General features: G+C 48.5%; 1 protein-coding gene and 1 non-coding gene across 28 annotated transcripts in view, besides 1 other annotated feature; both read right to left on the reverse strand.

The window, feature by feature from the left end:
* CTBP2 (C-terminal binding protein 2) overlaps positions 1-14,114 on the reverse strand; it is a 178,147-nt gene that overhangs the window by 44,694 nt on the left and 119,339 nt on the right. For 25 of the 27 annotated variants that reach the window (XM_047424671.1, NM_001083914.3, XM_047424677.1 and 22 more), the window contains one exon: positions 9,987-10,145. The exons of the other annotated variants lie outside the window; for them this stretch is intronic. In XM_047424671.1, the coding sequence (XP_047280627.1) occupies positions 9,987-10,044 (58 nt within the window). In that variant the 5' untranslated portion in view covers positions 10,045-10,145. The remainder of the gene's footprint in view (positions 1-9,986; positions 10,146-14,114) is intronic. 27 annotated transcript variants of the gene reach the window in all.
* On the reverse strand, positions 3,773-3,860 carry MIR4296 (microRNA 4296). The gene has a single exon (NR_036178.1). It is a non-coding gene; the product is annotated as a microRNA 4296 (primary transcript).
* Positions 12,222-12,721: an enhancer, noted in NCBI's record as "H3K27ac hESC enhancer chr10:126729801-126730300 (GRCh37/hg19 assembly coordinates)". NCBI's record gives its function as "activates a minimal SCP1, AML or CMV promoter by ChIP-STARR-seq in naive H9 embryonic stem cells {active_cell/tissue: H9 hESC(naive)}" and the evidence as "EXISTENCE:reporter gene assay evidence [ECO:0000049][PMID:30033119]".

A 14,114-nucleotide genomic window follows, 5' to 3' on the forward strand; every position in this document is an offset into this window, starting at 1 on the left:
GCCCTGCAACTGCAGGATTCCCATGACAAAGAATTCATAGCAAAAATAAAAGCCGGTGATTAGGAAGCTACAAAGGCTGTATACATTGAAAGCACTTTAAAATGAGACAACATGCATACCTGCAAGCATTAAACCCGAGTGCTGTTCCTCACTCACATCTCTCTCAATCTAGCACTCTACTAGAATCTTCTAAAGAGAAATACCAGTCTTTAAATTTTTTTTTTTTGAGACACAGTTTTTTTTTTTTTTTGAGACCGAGTTTTGCTCGTTTCTCAGGCTGGAGTGCAATGGCGCGATCTCGGCTCACTGCAGTCTCCGCCTCCTGGGTTCAAGCAATTCTCCTGCCTCAGCCTCACAAGTAGCTGGGATTACAGGTGTGCACCACCACACCCAGCTAATTTTTATATTTTTAGTAGAGCCTACCATGTCTCTACTCTATCTACTTCACCATGTTGGCCAGACTGGTCTCAAACTCCTGACCTCAGGTGATCCACCCACCTCAGCCTCCCAAGGTGCTGGGATTACAGGCATGAGCCACTGCGCCTGGCCAGCGCCTCAGGATTAAGCCACCTTGCCAATTTCTTTCCTCCCCTTGTTGTAATGAACAACATGACCTTATGTGGTGTTAGTACTATGCTACCCCACTCATGGTGCATGCACACCCCTCAAAGATGGGTGGATAAACTTGGAGCATTCCGGGAAAATCCCCCATGCCAAGTCTTTTTTGTAGCAGGGTGAGGTAGCTCTGTTGACTCACCAGCTTCTTTGCTATCTGGTTTTCAGCTCAGCAAGTTCTCAAATGTAAACAGGGCTCTATAGAAGAATGTTTACCCGGTAGCGCCTAAGAAACCAGTAATGATTCTTCAGAGAGGTTACTGAGCTGGTGTCCAAGGGGTGATCGCAGGAGCAGGGCAGATGTGGGCAGATGCGCTTTGGGGCAGCATCAGCCTCCCATTGAACCAGGAGGCCCAGCTTCCATTTCTATCAACTTTCAACCTGTTCTGCTTGGAAACCACCCAAACTCGCACAGCCTTGGCTCTGAGATTTGACAAATATTATGACAGATGTTTTCCTGCGCTAGGTAAAAACACCTGTAACTGGACTCACTTTTCCAAACACTCTGGTTACACAAACACCACACACACACACACACACACACCACACTCCAGTCTTTTAGAAAGGACTGCTTTTCTTAAAAATTCTCATGTTGACTAAAAGTGAGATGGGACCCATTAGAGTAATACATCTCACGGGCTTAATTTTTTAATTCTGCCAAAACCCTCACTATAGAAATTATGTCAAGTAAAAATAAGATGATTGTGTAACATAGCTGTGTCGGGGAGAGAGGCGATGTCCACCCAAAGCCAATTCTGAAGTCCCTGTGCGACACAAGGTGTCAATTAACAACAGAGACCTACAGAGATCCAGACAATTCCAGAGATGGATCCAGACAGTTCCAGAAGAGCTGGGAAGAGAGGCCAGGATGGGGATGATCAGTGGGTACCCTCCGACGGAGCAGTCTTTGGACAAACTGCCAACAAGCATTTCATGTTCCCATTGGAATAATCATGCAGGAAACTGCTTGAAATGAGAGAGAAAACATGACTCTGGGGTCTAATTCTCACTTTTATAGAAAAAGAAGAACAGGTGGGATCAGTGAGTCTGAAGGTTGCAGTAACATGAGGGCCATTTGGCTCAATGGTGTGTCCCTCTTAACTGTGTTGTCACCCGCCCACTTGGTGGGCTGCCAGGTTTGTCTCAAGGCCTTCTCAGGGAATAGCTCATTCTCAGGAGGCAACTTAAGTTCCCAACTGAAGGAACTTAAGGAACAGCTTCCCCAGGGGGGTCCTGCACCTGCCTGGGCTTCCATTCCCTGATCCTGCCTCCACCAACACAAAGGGCCAGGGCAGCTCTGAAGGTGATAGCGGAAATAACATCTCAGGAGGCTCTTCAGCGCCTGCTGCATCCCAGGACGGAGCCACCACAGTGCCCTCTACGTCTCCCACAGCGAGCGCTTCCCTAGGGAGGCTGCAGAAGTTAGCGGGTAACACGGTTTTCTGGCAGACACAGGGCAGAAAAATCGGCCTATGGCATACCCATTTCCTGCTTTTAAATGTGGACAGCCTGTGCTGGATTTTTGTCTGCTTCTGTCAAGTTAAGTGTTGTGGAATTTGTGCCATTAAAAAAGTTTTCTTGGGCCGGGTGCCGTGGCTCATGCCTGTAATCCCAGCACTTTGGGAGACTGAGTGGGGCGGATCACCTGATGTCAGGAGATGGAGACCATCCTGGCCAACATGGCGAAACCCTGTCTCTACTAAAAATACAAAAATTAGCCGGGCGTGGTGGCGGGTGCCTGTAATCCCAGCTACTCGGGAGGCTGAGGCAGGAGAATGGCGTGAACCCGGGAGGTGCAGGTTGCAGTGAGCCGAGACAGAACCATTGCATTCCAGCCTGGGCAACAGAGCAAGACTCCATTTCAAAAAAAAAAAAAAAAAAAAAAAAAGTCTTTCCTCTCATCAACCCCCTACCCCCTGCCCCCGAACGTCCTCAACCCAAAGTAGCCAAGTTGGCTAATCTAACGCAAAGGGTGGGAGGCCACACCAAATGCACTGGTTACATAGCAAACACAAAGTCTGGCTGGGTTTTAAAGCAGCCTTCGTCTAAATCACGCAAGCACACAGCAACAATTAGCAAAACTGCCCAGACATCGTTTCAGGTATCAAAGGGGCTGAGTGCACCGTGCACCCTTGCTTGCACACTGAGTGCTCTCACCAATTTCTGGGCCTGGAGCGCGGAGGCTTGGGCACCCACGCAACGCGCCAAAGGAAGTCAGGAGAGTGACGTCGAGTGTCTGAACCAACCCAGCCTTTTTCAGATTAGCTGCATCCTAAGAAGCCCCAGTCCTCATGTCTCTCAGTATTTAGCCATGGTAAGTGAAAACAAAGGCCTGCACATTGCTTCTGACTCAATTTCTTAACTATATTGTAAAGCTTCCTGGGAACTGCATTATGAAAATTAGACCACTCATTATGGGGTTTCAAAAGAAAAAAAAAAACAAGCCCATTCTCTTGCACTGCCCATTTTGAAAGTGTTGGTGGAGCCAAAGTGTGCAACGGGACCCCAGCTGGGATGCAGGACAGGCCTCACCTTGGACCATGTCAGGATTCCCATTTCTAGCAATGGAACACACTCAACCTCAAGAGGCTGTGCTCAGCTCTGGACAGCACCCGGCACAAGACGCTCCGCACAGTAGGTGCTCAATGAACACCACCCCTTCTGCTCTTTAGCAGCTTTTCCTGCAGATTCCCAAAGTCTCCACCTCACCTCCATGGTGACCCGCCCCATCACACTCCACTGTTTGAGGTCTCCTCGGCTGTCCTGCGATCAGAAGGTCCCAGGATGCCGTCCTTCCTCTGGTTTTGTGAGCAATGCTCCTAATCAGGGCTGGCTCAGCGAGCCCTCCCCCATGAACCTTTCTCAGTCCAATTCTGTCACTTTGTCCTTAGTCCAAAAAACCTGCCACTCCTCAAGATGAGAAAGGCACCCCAAAAATAGTCCAGGGCATGCATGTGCCTGTAGAGACAGGCCAAGGCATGGCCGCTTAGCCCCTGACCTGCGGAGCGGAGCGCACCCCTCCCTCCACAGCACGTGCTCCCTCCATTCATCACGTGCTTTTCATTTTGTTTGACACCCGGGCTGTAAATCAAACTGTCGACTATGACTCAATGGTGATGGACGGCTGGCCTCAAGGGAGTGTACGGTGTGATGGGGAAAAACGACAGAGACATGGACACAGTCCCCAGAAGCCCCTCCCCACAACCACTTCAGCCCTCTGAGCCTGAGCCCACATCAAAGCCCAAACAGCCCCATTTGCAAGCCTGGGCATGGTAGGCACTAAGCTAGGCAAAGCACCCACCGCCCAAATACAAATGGCTGCCTGACAGAGACCTGCTCCACCTGAGCCTGCACACGGACAGTTTCAGCACACGGGCCTTGATGGGACGGTCAGCCTTTCTTAGGATACGAAAGAACTGACTCTCAGCCTCACTCCCAAGTCTCGGATAAATCTGCGTCACCCATCCCAGGTTGCAAATGGGAAGGGAGGAACCCTCCTGGCACAGACATCTCTTCAACCGGAACACGGAAAACAAAACCCTCAGGTGATGAGAAACAGGCTGGAGGGACAGGGAGTGTGGGATCCCACTGTGCCCCAGCGCTGGACACCCAGAATGCTCTCCCCTCTCGGCATCTTCACAGCCCAGCTGGGGTGCTCAGCCAGGCTCCTGCTGGATGTGGAAGGGCTGAGAAAGGCACGTGAGGTCACTCTGTAGATGGAGATGAGACAGAGACAGAGGAACGCCCTCGAGCGCGCACGCCAAGGTGCCTGAGCTTTAGTAGCAAGCGAGCCAAGTGGTAGAAACCAATCAGAGAGGAGTCTCATTTCACAGCTTTAACACTGTACGTTCTGGAAAAGGAGAGAGGGCAAGAAGCCGGCAGCAAAATGTATCTTGGGGTTCTGGTTCACAGTCACCCCAAATACCTGTCAATTAGGTTGAGCTGTGTGAAGCGCGCAGAAGGTTCTCCGCATTCGTGCGGGCTGCTGTCTGCTGCTGTCTGGCTACCCTGGGGCCTCCTCCAAACACGGAGACTACGGATGCACTGTTCCCCCCGCGGCACTCCTTCCCCCTGCCCACCCCAAGCACTGCTCCCCTCAAGGCACTGACTTGGCCTGAAACTAGAGATGCTCTTTTCCCAAAGGTGCCGGGACCAAGAGGACAGGCACTGAGAGTAAAGCCCTGGGCAGCTGGGCCCAGGGGCTCCGGGCCACACTGTGGGAGGTTTCAACTCAATCATCGATGGAGACAGGGCACCACCAACCAGGCGGTGGGAAACAGCGCGATTCACTGTGGTAGGGGCAGGAGCTGAAAACCGCAGCTGCAGAACCAAACTAGAAGACGGTGATGAACCCCCAAACCCCAGCCACAGACTCCAGTTGCACTACACATCCCTGGCCCCCCAAATAAAAGCAAAGTGGCCTTAACATGTTGCTATTAGAAAAAAGTGGTGAGTATGAAGACATCCGCCCATCACCAAACTGACCGGTGCAAAGAGACGCTTATGTTTGTGCTTGAGAAATGAGTAACAACAGAGAAATAAAACACCGAACCTGATTCACAGCTGCAGAACGGGAGGGCAGTCTATGAACCCCATCCCCAGAGTCGGTGGAGGAACAGGTGGGGTGAGGGGTTCCCTGGGGAGGGGTCCCCCACTCTGAGTTTCTCTTAAAGCCGGGGACAGATAAGGCAAAACATGAAACTTTACCCCTTGCAAAGAACCGCACTTTTGTCTGTGAAGCTTTGCCTTGGCTGTTTCCTGAACCTTTACCTTTGCATAAGATTGTTTGGGTATGTTCATTTGTGCTTTGGGGTTTTAAGGCATGTCTAGTTGACTATTGTATATTTACATAGCTAATGTAATTACAGCTAATCACATAATTGCTGGAAATGTGCATAATTGCCTGATCCCAACATATAATTATAATGTATAGCAACATTATGAATCCCATTTTTAAAATCCACATTTTGGGGCTATTTAAAGTTATTTATTAGAACTGTTTGTGGACTACCTATAGGCAGGCTTCAACTCTGTTTCTTTACGAAGCGCTCAAAGTGCTTTAAAAAAACAAACAAAAACAAAACAAGTCCTGATTTTATAATGCATCTGTACAAAGATAGGTGAAAAGAAAACAGCTACTCAGAACAAAAACAAATAAATCTTAAATACCAAACAAAACCATTTGTCAACACTCTGTGGATTATGTTCTTTCCTCGGGGAAAGAGAAAGTCACTCTCTCATCCTGGAGGCTCTGATGGGTGTTTGCCAGGCAAGGAGGCTGCTGGAAGAAGGAAAGAGCCAGAGGGACTTCTAGACCACTTGGGTAACCTTGCTGACCCTGGAGGCGCCTGTCTTTGTTCCTTATACGTATGGATGACCTTTCTTGGGGGTACATCCCACTGACATGTGCTTCCACCATGGCAAGTTCAACCCACTGAGAAGAGCAGAAGAGCCCGCGACACAGAAGAGACCCACTGGGGAAACTCCCTTCCACCTCATCCCCGGCAGCATCTTCTCAGACTTCTCATCCTCCTGCGACAAAGGTGATGCAGAATGAGATTCCCAGACTTTCTAACTATCTATGTGTTTCACAGAAACCAGCTTGTCTCCTTTTTCCTCATATCCACCCAACCAGCTCAACGTTCTCATTCCTTTTATCCTCTGTGGTCGTGAGAACATTCCAGAGGTGCGGAATGTTTCATGAGCTTGTTTATTTAAGAGGAGGTCCCTTTTATTTTTGCAGAGGAAATGGAGAAGCACCCTCCCTGAGTCATGTTACAAGGGGACTACTCACAACTCAGCTGATACCATCCTCGGGGGACCATTTTCCACGTCTCTAACACATTCGAACAAAACGCAGTAAAACGAAACACATACTTTTTTCAAGTTGCAATCGCAACAGCCGCAGGAAAGGGGAGCAGTGTTTACAGACTGATTCTATCATAATCCACAAGAAGCAGCTCTAACAAAAAGTTACCACCAACAACAGCCATTGTGGTTTATTAAGTTCTACAAACCCAGGGCTCTGCAAGATGCTCTTCTGGGTTCCCTTTGCAATGCTGAGTGATTGTTAGCTAGCCCTCATTTCCAACCAATAGATGTTTGGGGCAAACCAAAGGAGCTCTGGCATAATGCGATAAAGTAGGTACTAAAACCCTCCAGCTGGTGCAGTTCACAATGTCAATTATGTCAGCAGACTAAACAGATAGGAAGATCTCCATTATACTTGAGAATGAGGAGACCACAATCTTGTTCTGATCAGCCTGTGTTACGAGAGGGCTCCTTCGTAATAATTCTTACATGGTATTATAGGATTGCTTGATAGCAGGCATCAGAAAAAAAAGGAACAATTATAAATAGCAAACTCAAAGAGTTACATTAAAAAAATTAAAATGTGGCTTTTACATTGGCTAGAAAGACCATTATTCCAGCTCATTTGGCTGGAGTCCCAAAGACTGTCTGTGTCCTGCTCTCCGAGTAGAGACACAGCCTGGCGGAGTGAATCCCCACGGCAGATTCTGGGCACACAGAAGGATCAAGCTCCATGCCACTTTTTCTTGCTTTGAAAAGTTTCAAAGAGGAAGGGGCTGGACAGGCCTTAGAAAACAGGGAAAGGTTGTACAAGTATCTGTGCAGGGGTGATGCTCAGATTCCAGCGGAGTACCTGGAGTGGGACCCTGGAGAGGCCTGCCTGATTCCAGCCTAGGGACCCACGACCAGGGCTTGATGTTGGCATTGTGTAGCAGGCGGGAGGGGACGAATTTTAAGGAGCTGGTGTATCCAGACACCAAGAGCAGGAAGACAAAGTTCCTACAAGCCTGGGAGCAGACCGGGTAAGCACAGCAGAACATGGCAGCTTCATGCTTTTAATCATTTAGAAAGAAAAAAAAAACAAACCTAAGGGACGCAGAAGTCCCTGTGTCAGGTGTAGGCAGTGGGGAGGGAGAAAAAAACAGTTTGACAGGCTCTCTGCATATCAATACAGAACATTCTACAAGTAGTTGATAGAATAGAAACATGGTGAGAATTCAAAGCTAGAGGGGGTGTGTGTGTGTGTGTGTGTGTGTGTGTGTGTGTGTGTGTGTGTGTGTTTGTGTGTGTTAGATGTTCAAGGCCTTCAGGTGGAAGAAAGAGCTGAATCCAACAAGCTGGTATGAGAGAAGGCCAAACAGAAAAAAACAGACTGCCCGGGTTCCTGGGTGCAAACTGCCTACTGCTCAACGCCTCTCTGGCAGCACCTGTGAGATGGGTGCCACCTGTCCTGACCCATAACAGGTGCCACAAGGACTAAGTCAGCTTATACATAGGAGGAGCACCAACAAAGCACTTGGGACCAACTGTGAGTACTTAATGAGATGCCTAGGGAGCTGACATATAGATGGTGACCCACACTGGAGTAACTGCATTTTGGCCTGTCTGCGTTGATAGTTATTGAGAAATTTAAAATATATAACTGCAAATGTATCTGGAACACCATGCATAGACAAGGTAATGCAAACTTCTGTTATAAAAAATTGGCTGAAAATTTCCTATTACACATGAAGGGGGTGGGAAGGTTGGTGAACCATCCTTCAGCACCTGTCTGGATGGGACAGAGGGTCTGCAAGCAGACAATGGTTTTGCCCAAGTCAGGTTTATACAGCCATGGAAACACACAGAGGAAACGCTGCTAGCTCTTCAATCCCATTCTAGTTTCTGATGCAACATCCCTGGAGAATCCTGGGTGCAGGGGGTGGAGTCAGCCCCAGAGGCATTCCTGCTAGTAACCTTGGAAAGCTGAGTCACGAGCGTGTTCCAGAAGCAAGTACTCAGTAACCTCAATCAAGCACCTTTACAGTGGAAGTCAAGAGTAAATTTTACAACTCCCCATACAATCTGGTGAACCTATACTGTGGAATAGTCTACAAATCAATGGGGCCTGGGCTCTTCAGTAAGTCCAATGTCTCTGAAAGTCAAAAAAGCCCAGGGGATAATTTTAGACTAAGGAGACTAGAGAGATGTAACAACTAAACACAATGCGTGACCCTTATCTATTGCACAGGCAAAGAGACGTGGAGGAAATGCGAATATGCAGCCTATACTAGACAATACTGTCCCTGAGGTTAGATTCCTGGGGTTCATTCCGGTACTGGGAGCAGTACGAAATTGGATAAAAGGTGCCATGCCATAGGTAGTCCAGAGTAAAGTGCTGCCCCTGAATTTTTTCAGATGGTTCTGGAAGAAAATCCATCATCTACTCACACAGTGTCTATTTATATGTATATCTCTATCTTTATCTCCCCTCAAAAGAATCTGGAAAACTGAATGGAATATTGGTGTTCACTGTACCATCCTACCAACCTCTCTGTAGGTTTTTATAATTTGTGAATGTTTACTTTAAAAAAACCCTTTAACGCCAAACTCCTTATACTGAACCCCAGGAATGTCAGTGCTTTTGTGTTCTTGCAGCGCAGAGTTCTGTGAGGCCATGGAGTCACTCAGCAGAATGTCTATGATGTCCCCACCCCGTGTGGCATGAGCCACATCTACTTATAGGACAGACAATTCCATATGGGCAGCTGCAGGGGAAGCCCTGTGGGTTGCATATTCCTGTCCACAAACTGGTGGGTCAGCTACTAAACTTCAGCGTGTGCGTGAAGGGTGCAGAGGGGGCTGCGGAGCCATCTTCGCTTCCCTCCGAGAGCCACCCTGTAGGGCAGTACCAGCAATCACCCTGAGCAAAGAGCAGCCCTGTAGCACTGACCCCATCTGGCAGGTGCACTCACCCCTAAACCCGAACCCACACGCTGGTTTCTTACCACCCGCTAGCTGGAAGAGCGCAGTGCTTAATCAACACTTCAGAGTTTTGTCCCCAGGTTTCCATTAGATTTTAATTATGTTTATTTTTCCTTTCATGAACAGAACACTTCCAGACATTTCCAAAGATACCAGGGACATGAACACACCACGAGGGGCAATGCTGGGCTCTTCAGGAATCTCATAGTATCAGGGAATTCAGCATTGTAAATATCTTAATCCAAAACAGGTAAAGTCCTGAGATTTCAGGAAGTGAAAAAAGATGGTCCTAATCAACACCATCTTTTATATGCAAAATAACCTTAGGTACATGGAAGACATAGACCTCAGGGCCCACCAGCCCTGAAACTGTCCTCCTAGTCCCCAACCCCGCCCCAGAAGCCAGGCCTTGTCCTAAGCCAAGGCCAGGCCCACGGCCAAGGACACCCAGCAGAGGGTGCCAATGGTATGCAGTGTTGGAATCGGAGGAGGGACTCTGGCTTGGGGAGTGGCACAGCCAACTCAAGGGAGCAGCCAGCGAAGATTTGAGTGAGGGACTACGTATGTTTGGTAAAAACCGCCAAACACGCTCTTACCTTCACAAATTCTGTCCAATCGCTGTCTCTTGACTTTGTGCTTATCCACAAGGGCCATTCTTTATGGAACTTTGCAACTCTCAGATCAAAAGGCAAAGCAGTCCTCTAAGAACTTAGGGGAACTTGCAGGAGTCTGCGTGCATGACGCCACTATGAACCCTGAAACAAGGAGAAAAGAATCCTTACTCTCTGGAGACCCTCTGGGCACAGGACAACAGCTCACTGGGGACTTAACTGCTACTTTCTATAAGGGAACCTGCCATGCGGACACATGGGACTTGCTCTTTTCCCAAAGCACTGGGAATGGAGGCTGCACCAAGTGCATCTCAGCCGCCTCCTGCTTCTTATCTCATAATAGAAAGCAAGTGAATGCACACAAGACAATCGTCAGTTATTTCTGGAAGCAGCAAATTCCAACAGATCTCTTGCTTTTAACTTTAGGGCTATAAATTCCAATTTACTGACCAATTTGAAGTGTAATAAATTATATTCCAGTGGCAGAGACCAAGTGACAGCCAGTTGGACCTGCCCCAAACGCACTCACACTGAGATGCAGACGCACACCGTGGCGACTCGAGGGGCTCTGCGAAGGCCTGCTGCCAGGTGAGTTACAACAATGCTTTCCAAAACAGCCGCGCAGGGGTCAGGGGTCAAAGCCACAGCTCAGCACAACACAAAACCCTGACTCTACCACGTGAGAACGCGGGTGGGAAGCCCCAGCAGCTCCTAACCAACGTTCCTCCGATGCCGCCTTCCTGAACCTTCCTTGCAGCTGGAGGGGACCGCAGTCAGCACCAGCAAGGGCAGGGTCCCAGGCTGCTGGCCTTGACACTTGGTTCCAGCTATATGGGCTGAAGTATTTCTTAGTGTGAGAGTGTAACCATCCCCATGACGTTTCAGGTAGAGGTGAGGCTGATGGAGGAGGCAAGAAAGGTCTCCCATGTGGTTTGGGGTATGTGGGATTCTCTAGAGGGAGACCTGACTGCGGCCTGGGGAAGAGGAGCTGCTGCCCATCCTCCTTCTCAGGAGGATCTGAGCACTTTGGAAGCCTCTGACTGTCACCAATGTGCCCGGTGAGGTCCAGATCATTAACAGCTGTCCCCAATATCCCAGCTTTTAAGTCACTGCTCTGGAACTGCATTCTTTACATTGATTAAAGGAGGCTTAATGAATCTTGGCCAGGCACGGTGGCTCATGCCTGTAAGCCCAGAAGTTTGGGAGGCCGAGGCGGGCAGATCACCTGAGGTCAGGAGTTCGAGACCAGCCTGGCCAACATGGTAAAATCCCGTCTCTACTAAAAATACAAAAATTAGCCGGGTATGCTGGCAGGCACCTGTAATCCCAGCTACTTGGGAGGCTGAGGCAAAAGAATCACGTGAATCTGGGAGGTGGAGGTTGCAGTGAGCTGAGGTTGTACCACTGCACTCCAACCTGGTGACAGAGCAAGACTCTGTCTTTAAAAAAAAAAAAAAAAAAAAAAAGGTGGCTTGAATCTCAACTGGGAAACAACATTTAAGGCCCACTCTATTGTCTTCTGTATTTTTTTTTTCCCAAGGAATACAATTAAATCAGTCTTATTTTAAGACCACCACCACAACCACATACACACACACACACACACACACACACAGAAAAAGTGGTTCTCAGTGATCTAGCAGAAAGAAAGAGGAGAGATAAAGATAAAAATGAGGCCCAAGGGGTAGAAATGAGGATAATGATGTACGGTCATCAGTTATGCAAAACATTAAGAGTTACTTTATCAAAAGGTCAGACTGCAGGTCTACCAGGTTTCTGTAAGTTAACGGCTAATTTCCCAGCAACGAAGCTGAAAAGGCATCCGAAAGATTTATGGCGATAATTACGTGATTCTCCATAAAAGAGCTACGAAAAAGCACAATTTCCAATCACATAAATAATTAATGTAACATCCCTGAGATACCAAACCCTTTCAACGATTGGGAAGTTCCCCCAAAACGGGGACTGACCATATCGGATCAGTCAGGAGATGGAGGTTGTCATAGAATGTGTGGGGTTACCCTTGAGCAGATCCATGTGGACGTATTTTAAAAATTGGTTTTGCTAGTGTTGGCTTTTTTATTTTTGGTGAGACAGGGTCTGTTCTTCACTCAGGCTGGAATGCAGGGGCAAGCTCATGGCTCACTGCAGCCTCAACCTCCCAGGCTCAAGCAATCCTCCCACCTCACCTCCTTAATAGGTGGTACTACAGGCATGTGCCAACATGCCTGGCTAATTTTTGTATTTTTTGAAGAGATGGGGTTTCACACCATGTTGCCCAGACTGGTCTCGAACTCCTGAACTCAAGTGATCCACCCACCTCAGCCTCCCAAAGTGCTGGGATTACAGGTGTGAGCCACTGCGCCTAGCCAGTGCTGGGCTTTCTGAAAGGTAACCACACAAAAAAAGAGTCCCTAACTATAGCCAACTTAAGAGTTATTGGAGTGGGGGCGGGGGGCCAAACCTATTGATCTGAGCTTTTGTCCATCCCCACCCCCCCCCCCCCCACCCACAAGTGACTCTAGGTGAGGCTGACCAGGGAGGCTCGGGCCAGCAATTGTCATTTGCTCAGGCGCAAGCTCTGATGGTCAAACTGCAGTCTGGCCCCTCCTTGACTCTGTTGTAAAAACAGATTTCCACATCAGCTGCGTCATCCAAGGGGGGAAGAGAATTAATCAGTTAATTTTTGTGAAGACCTCGGAGATGAAAAATGACAGCATTATAATCTGAGGCAAGGGGGGTTTCACACCCTCCTCCCCCAACCCCCGAGTGAGGCGTAATCATTCCTTTTGCTTTCCTTTGAATTTTAATTTGTATAATTAGATGGCTTCCTGAAAAATTGATAAGTAGAATCTCAATCATGCAATCAAAGGAAAGATCAGCCATCAGCTTCCACAAACGCCAATATTCCACTATTAAAAAAAAAAAAAGAGGCTGACTCCCATGTCTGGCTTTTTTGGGGGTGGGGGTGGGGGAGGGGGGTCACTCTGTTCTGGACCTTCTGTGGGTTCCTTTCTGCACACCCCAGGCCAGTGGCACCGACCCATGTTTAGGGCTGGCCATCTTGGCTCCCAAGGCCACCAGCCTCTGGGTCTGGTCTGGGCAGTGACCATTGACTTGTGTAGCCTCAATCCTCTCCCCCGATATCTCTTGTGCAAAAAGAATGTATGAAATGTGACATTTTCCTCCTTAGCCCTCCCAAGGAGCAAGCTATTTACGAGGACTTAATTAACATAACCATCTTCCAATGACAGCCACAGGCCCTCCTTAGAGCTGAGCTGCACACAGCGGCCTCCAGCTGGTCTCCATGCTGAGCAAGCCAGCACCCCCGATCCACGCTGGCTCTGGGCTCCCTGACATCACAGCTCTCTTGGTGATGCCTGCTATGAAAACCAGGCTCCACTCATAAATCAATTTTTCCCCCCTAAACACCAAACAATACGGGCACAAATAAGGAAGGAACAAAAGCAGAGGGAACGTGTTTCACTATTCCACTTCTGCTGAAATTGTTCCTCAAATCATGCCAGGGGCGGAATCGTGGGTGGAGGGAGTTCTAGACCCCACTCGTGGAATGAGCTTGGATGAGCTGTTCTGGAGACTCAGGCTCCTTGTCTGTAGAATGGGATGTCACTGTGATGTCCCAGAGTGGCAGTGAGGACCAGCCAGTGAGGATATGCACAAAAACACTCGGTGGGAGCCTGCAGGTCTCTGTGAGCTGCTCCTGCCTTTCCTTTGACACCCCCTTGCACACTCATCCCCGCAGCGAATAATCATTCCCTTCTGGCTGAGGCTGGGAGGTAAACCTCAGTGAAGGTCAAGGTCAACAGGAAAGCTGTATCTTTTCAAAAGGAAGAAGAGTGCCCTGAAGCCAAACCGCACAAGAAACACTACCTCCTCCCAAAAGGAAAGTTACGGGTATCACAGGCCAAACTCCAACCAAAGATCAGAAACGTGGACCTTAAATTTTATTTGCTTTAAGTGAGGGCTGTGATCTAGGGCTGAAATATTTGGTGCCAAGAAATTCAACTCATTTCTGAAGATGAACAAGGCTTGGAAAAGAAAGCCACTTGTAGATACTTGGTTGTTTCCAGAGGGGACGGGTATGGAAGATTT

Source organism: Homo sapiens, chromosome 10, assembly GCF_000001405.40.
Source record: "Homo sapiens chromosome 10, GRCh38.p14 Primary Assembly".
Classification (NCBI taxonomy): Eukaryota; Metazoa; Chordata; class Mammalia; order Primates; family Hominidae; genus Homo; species Homo sapiens.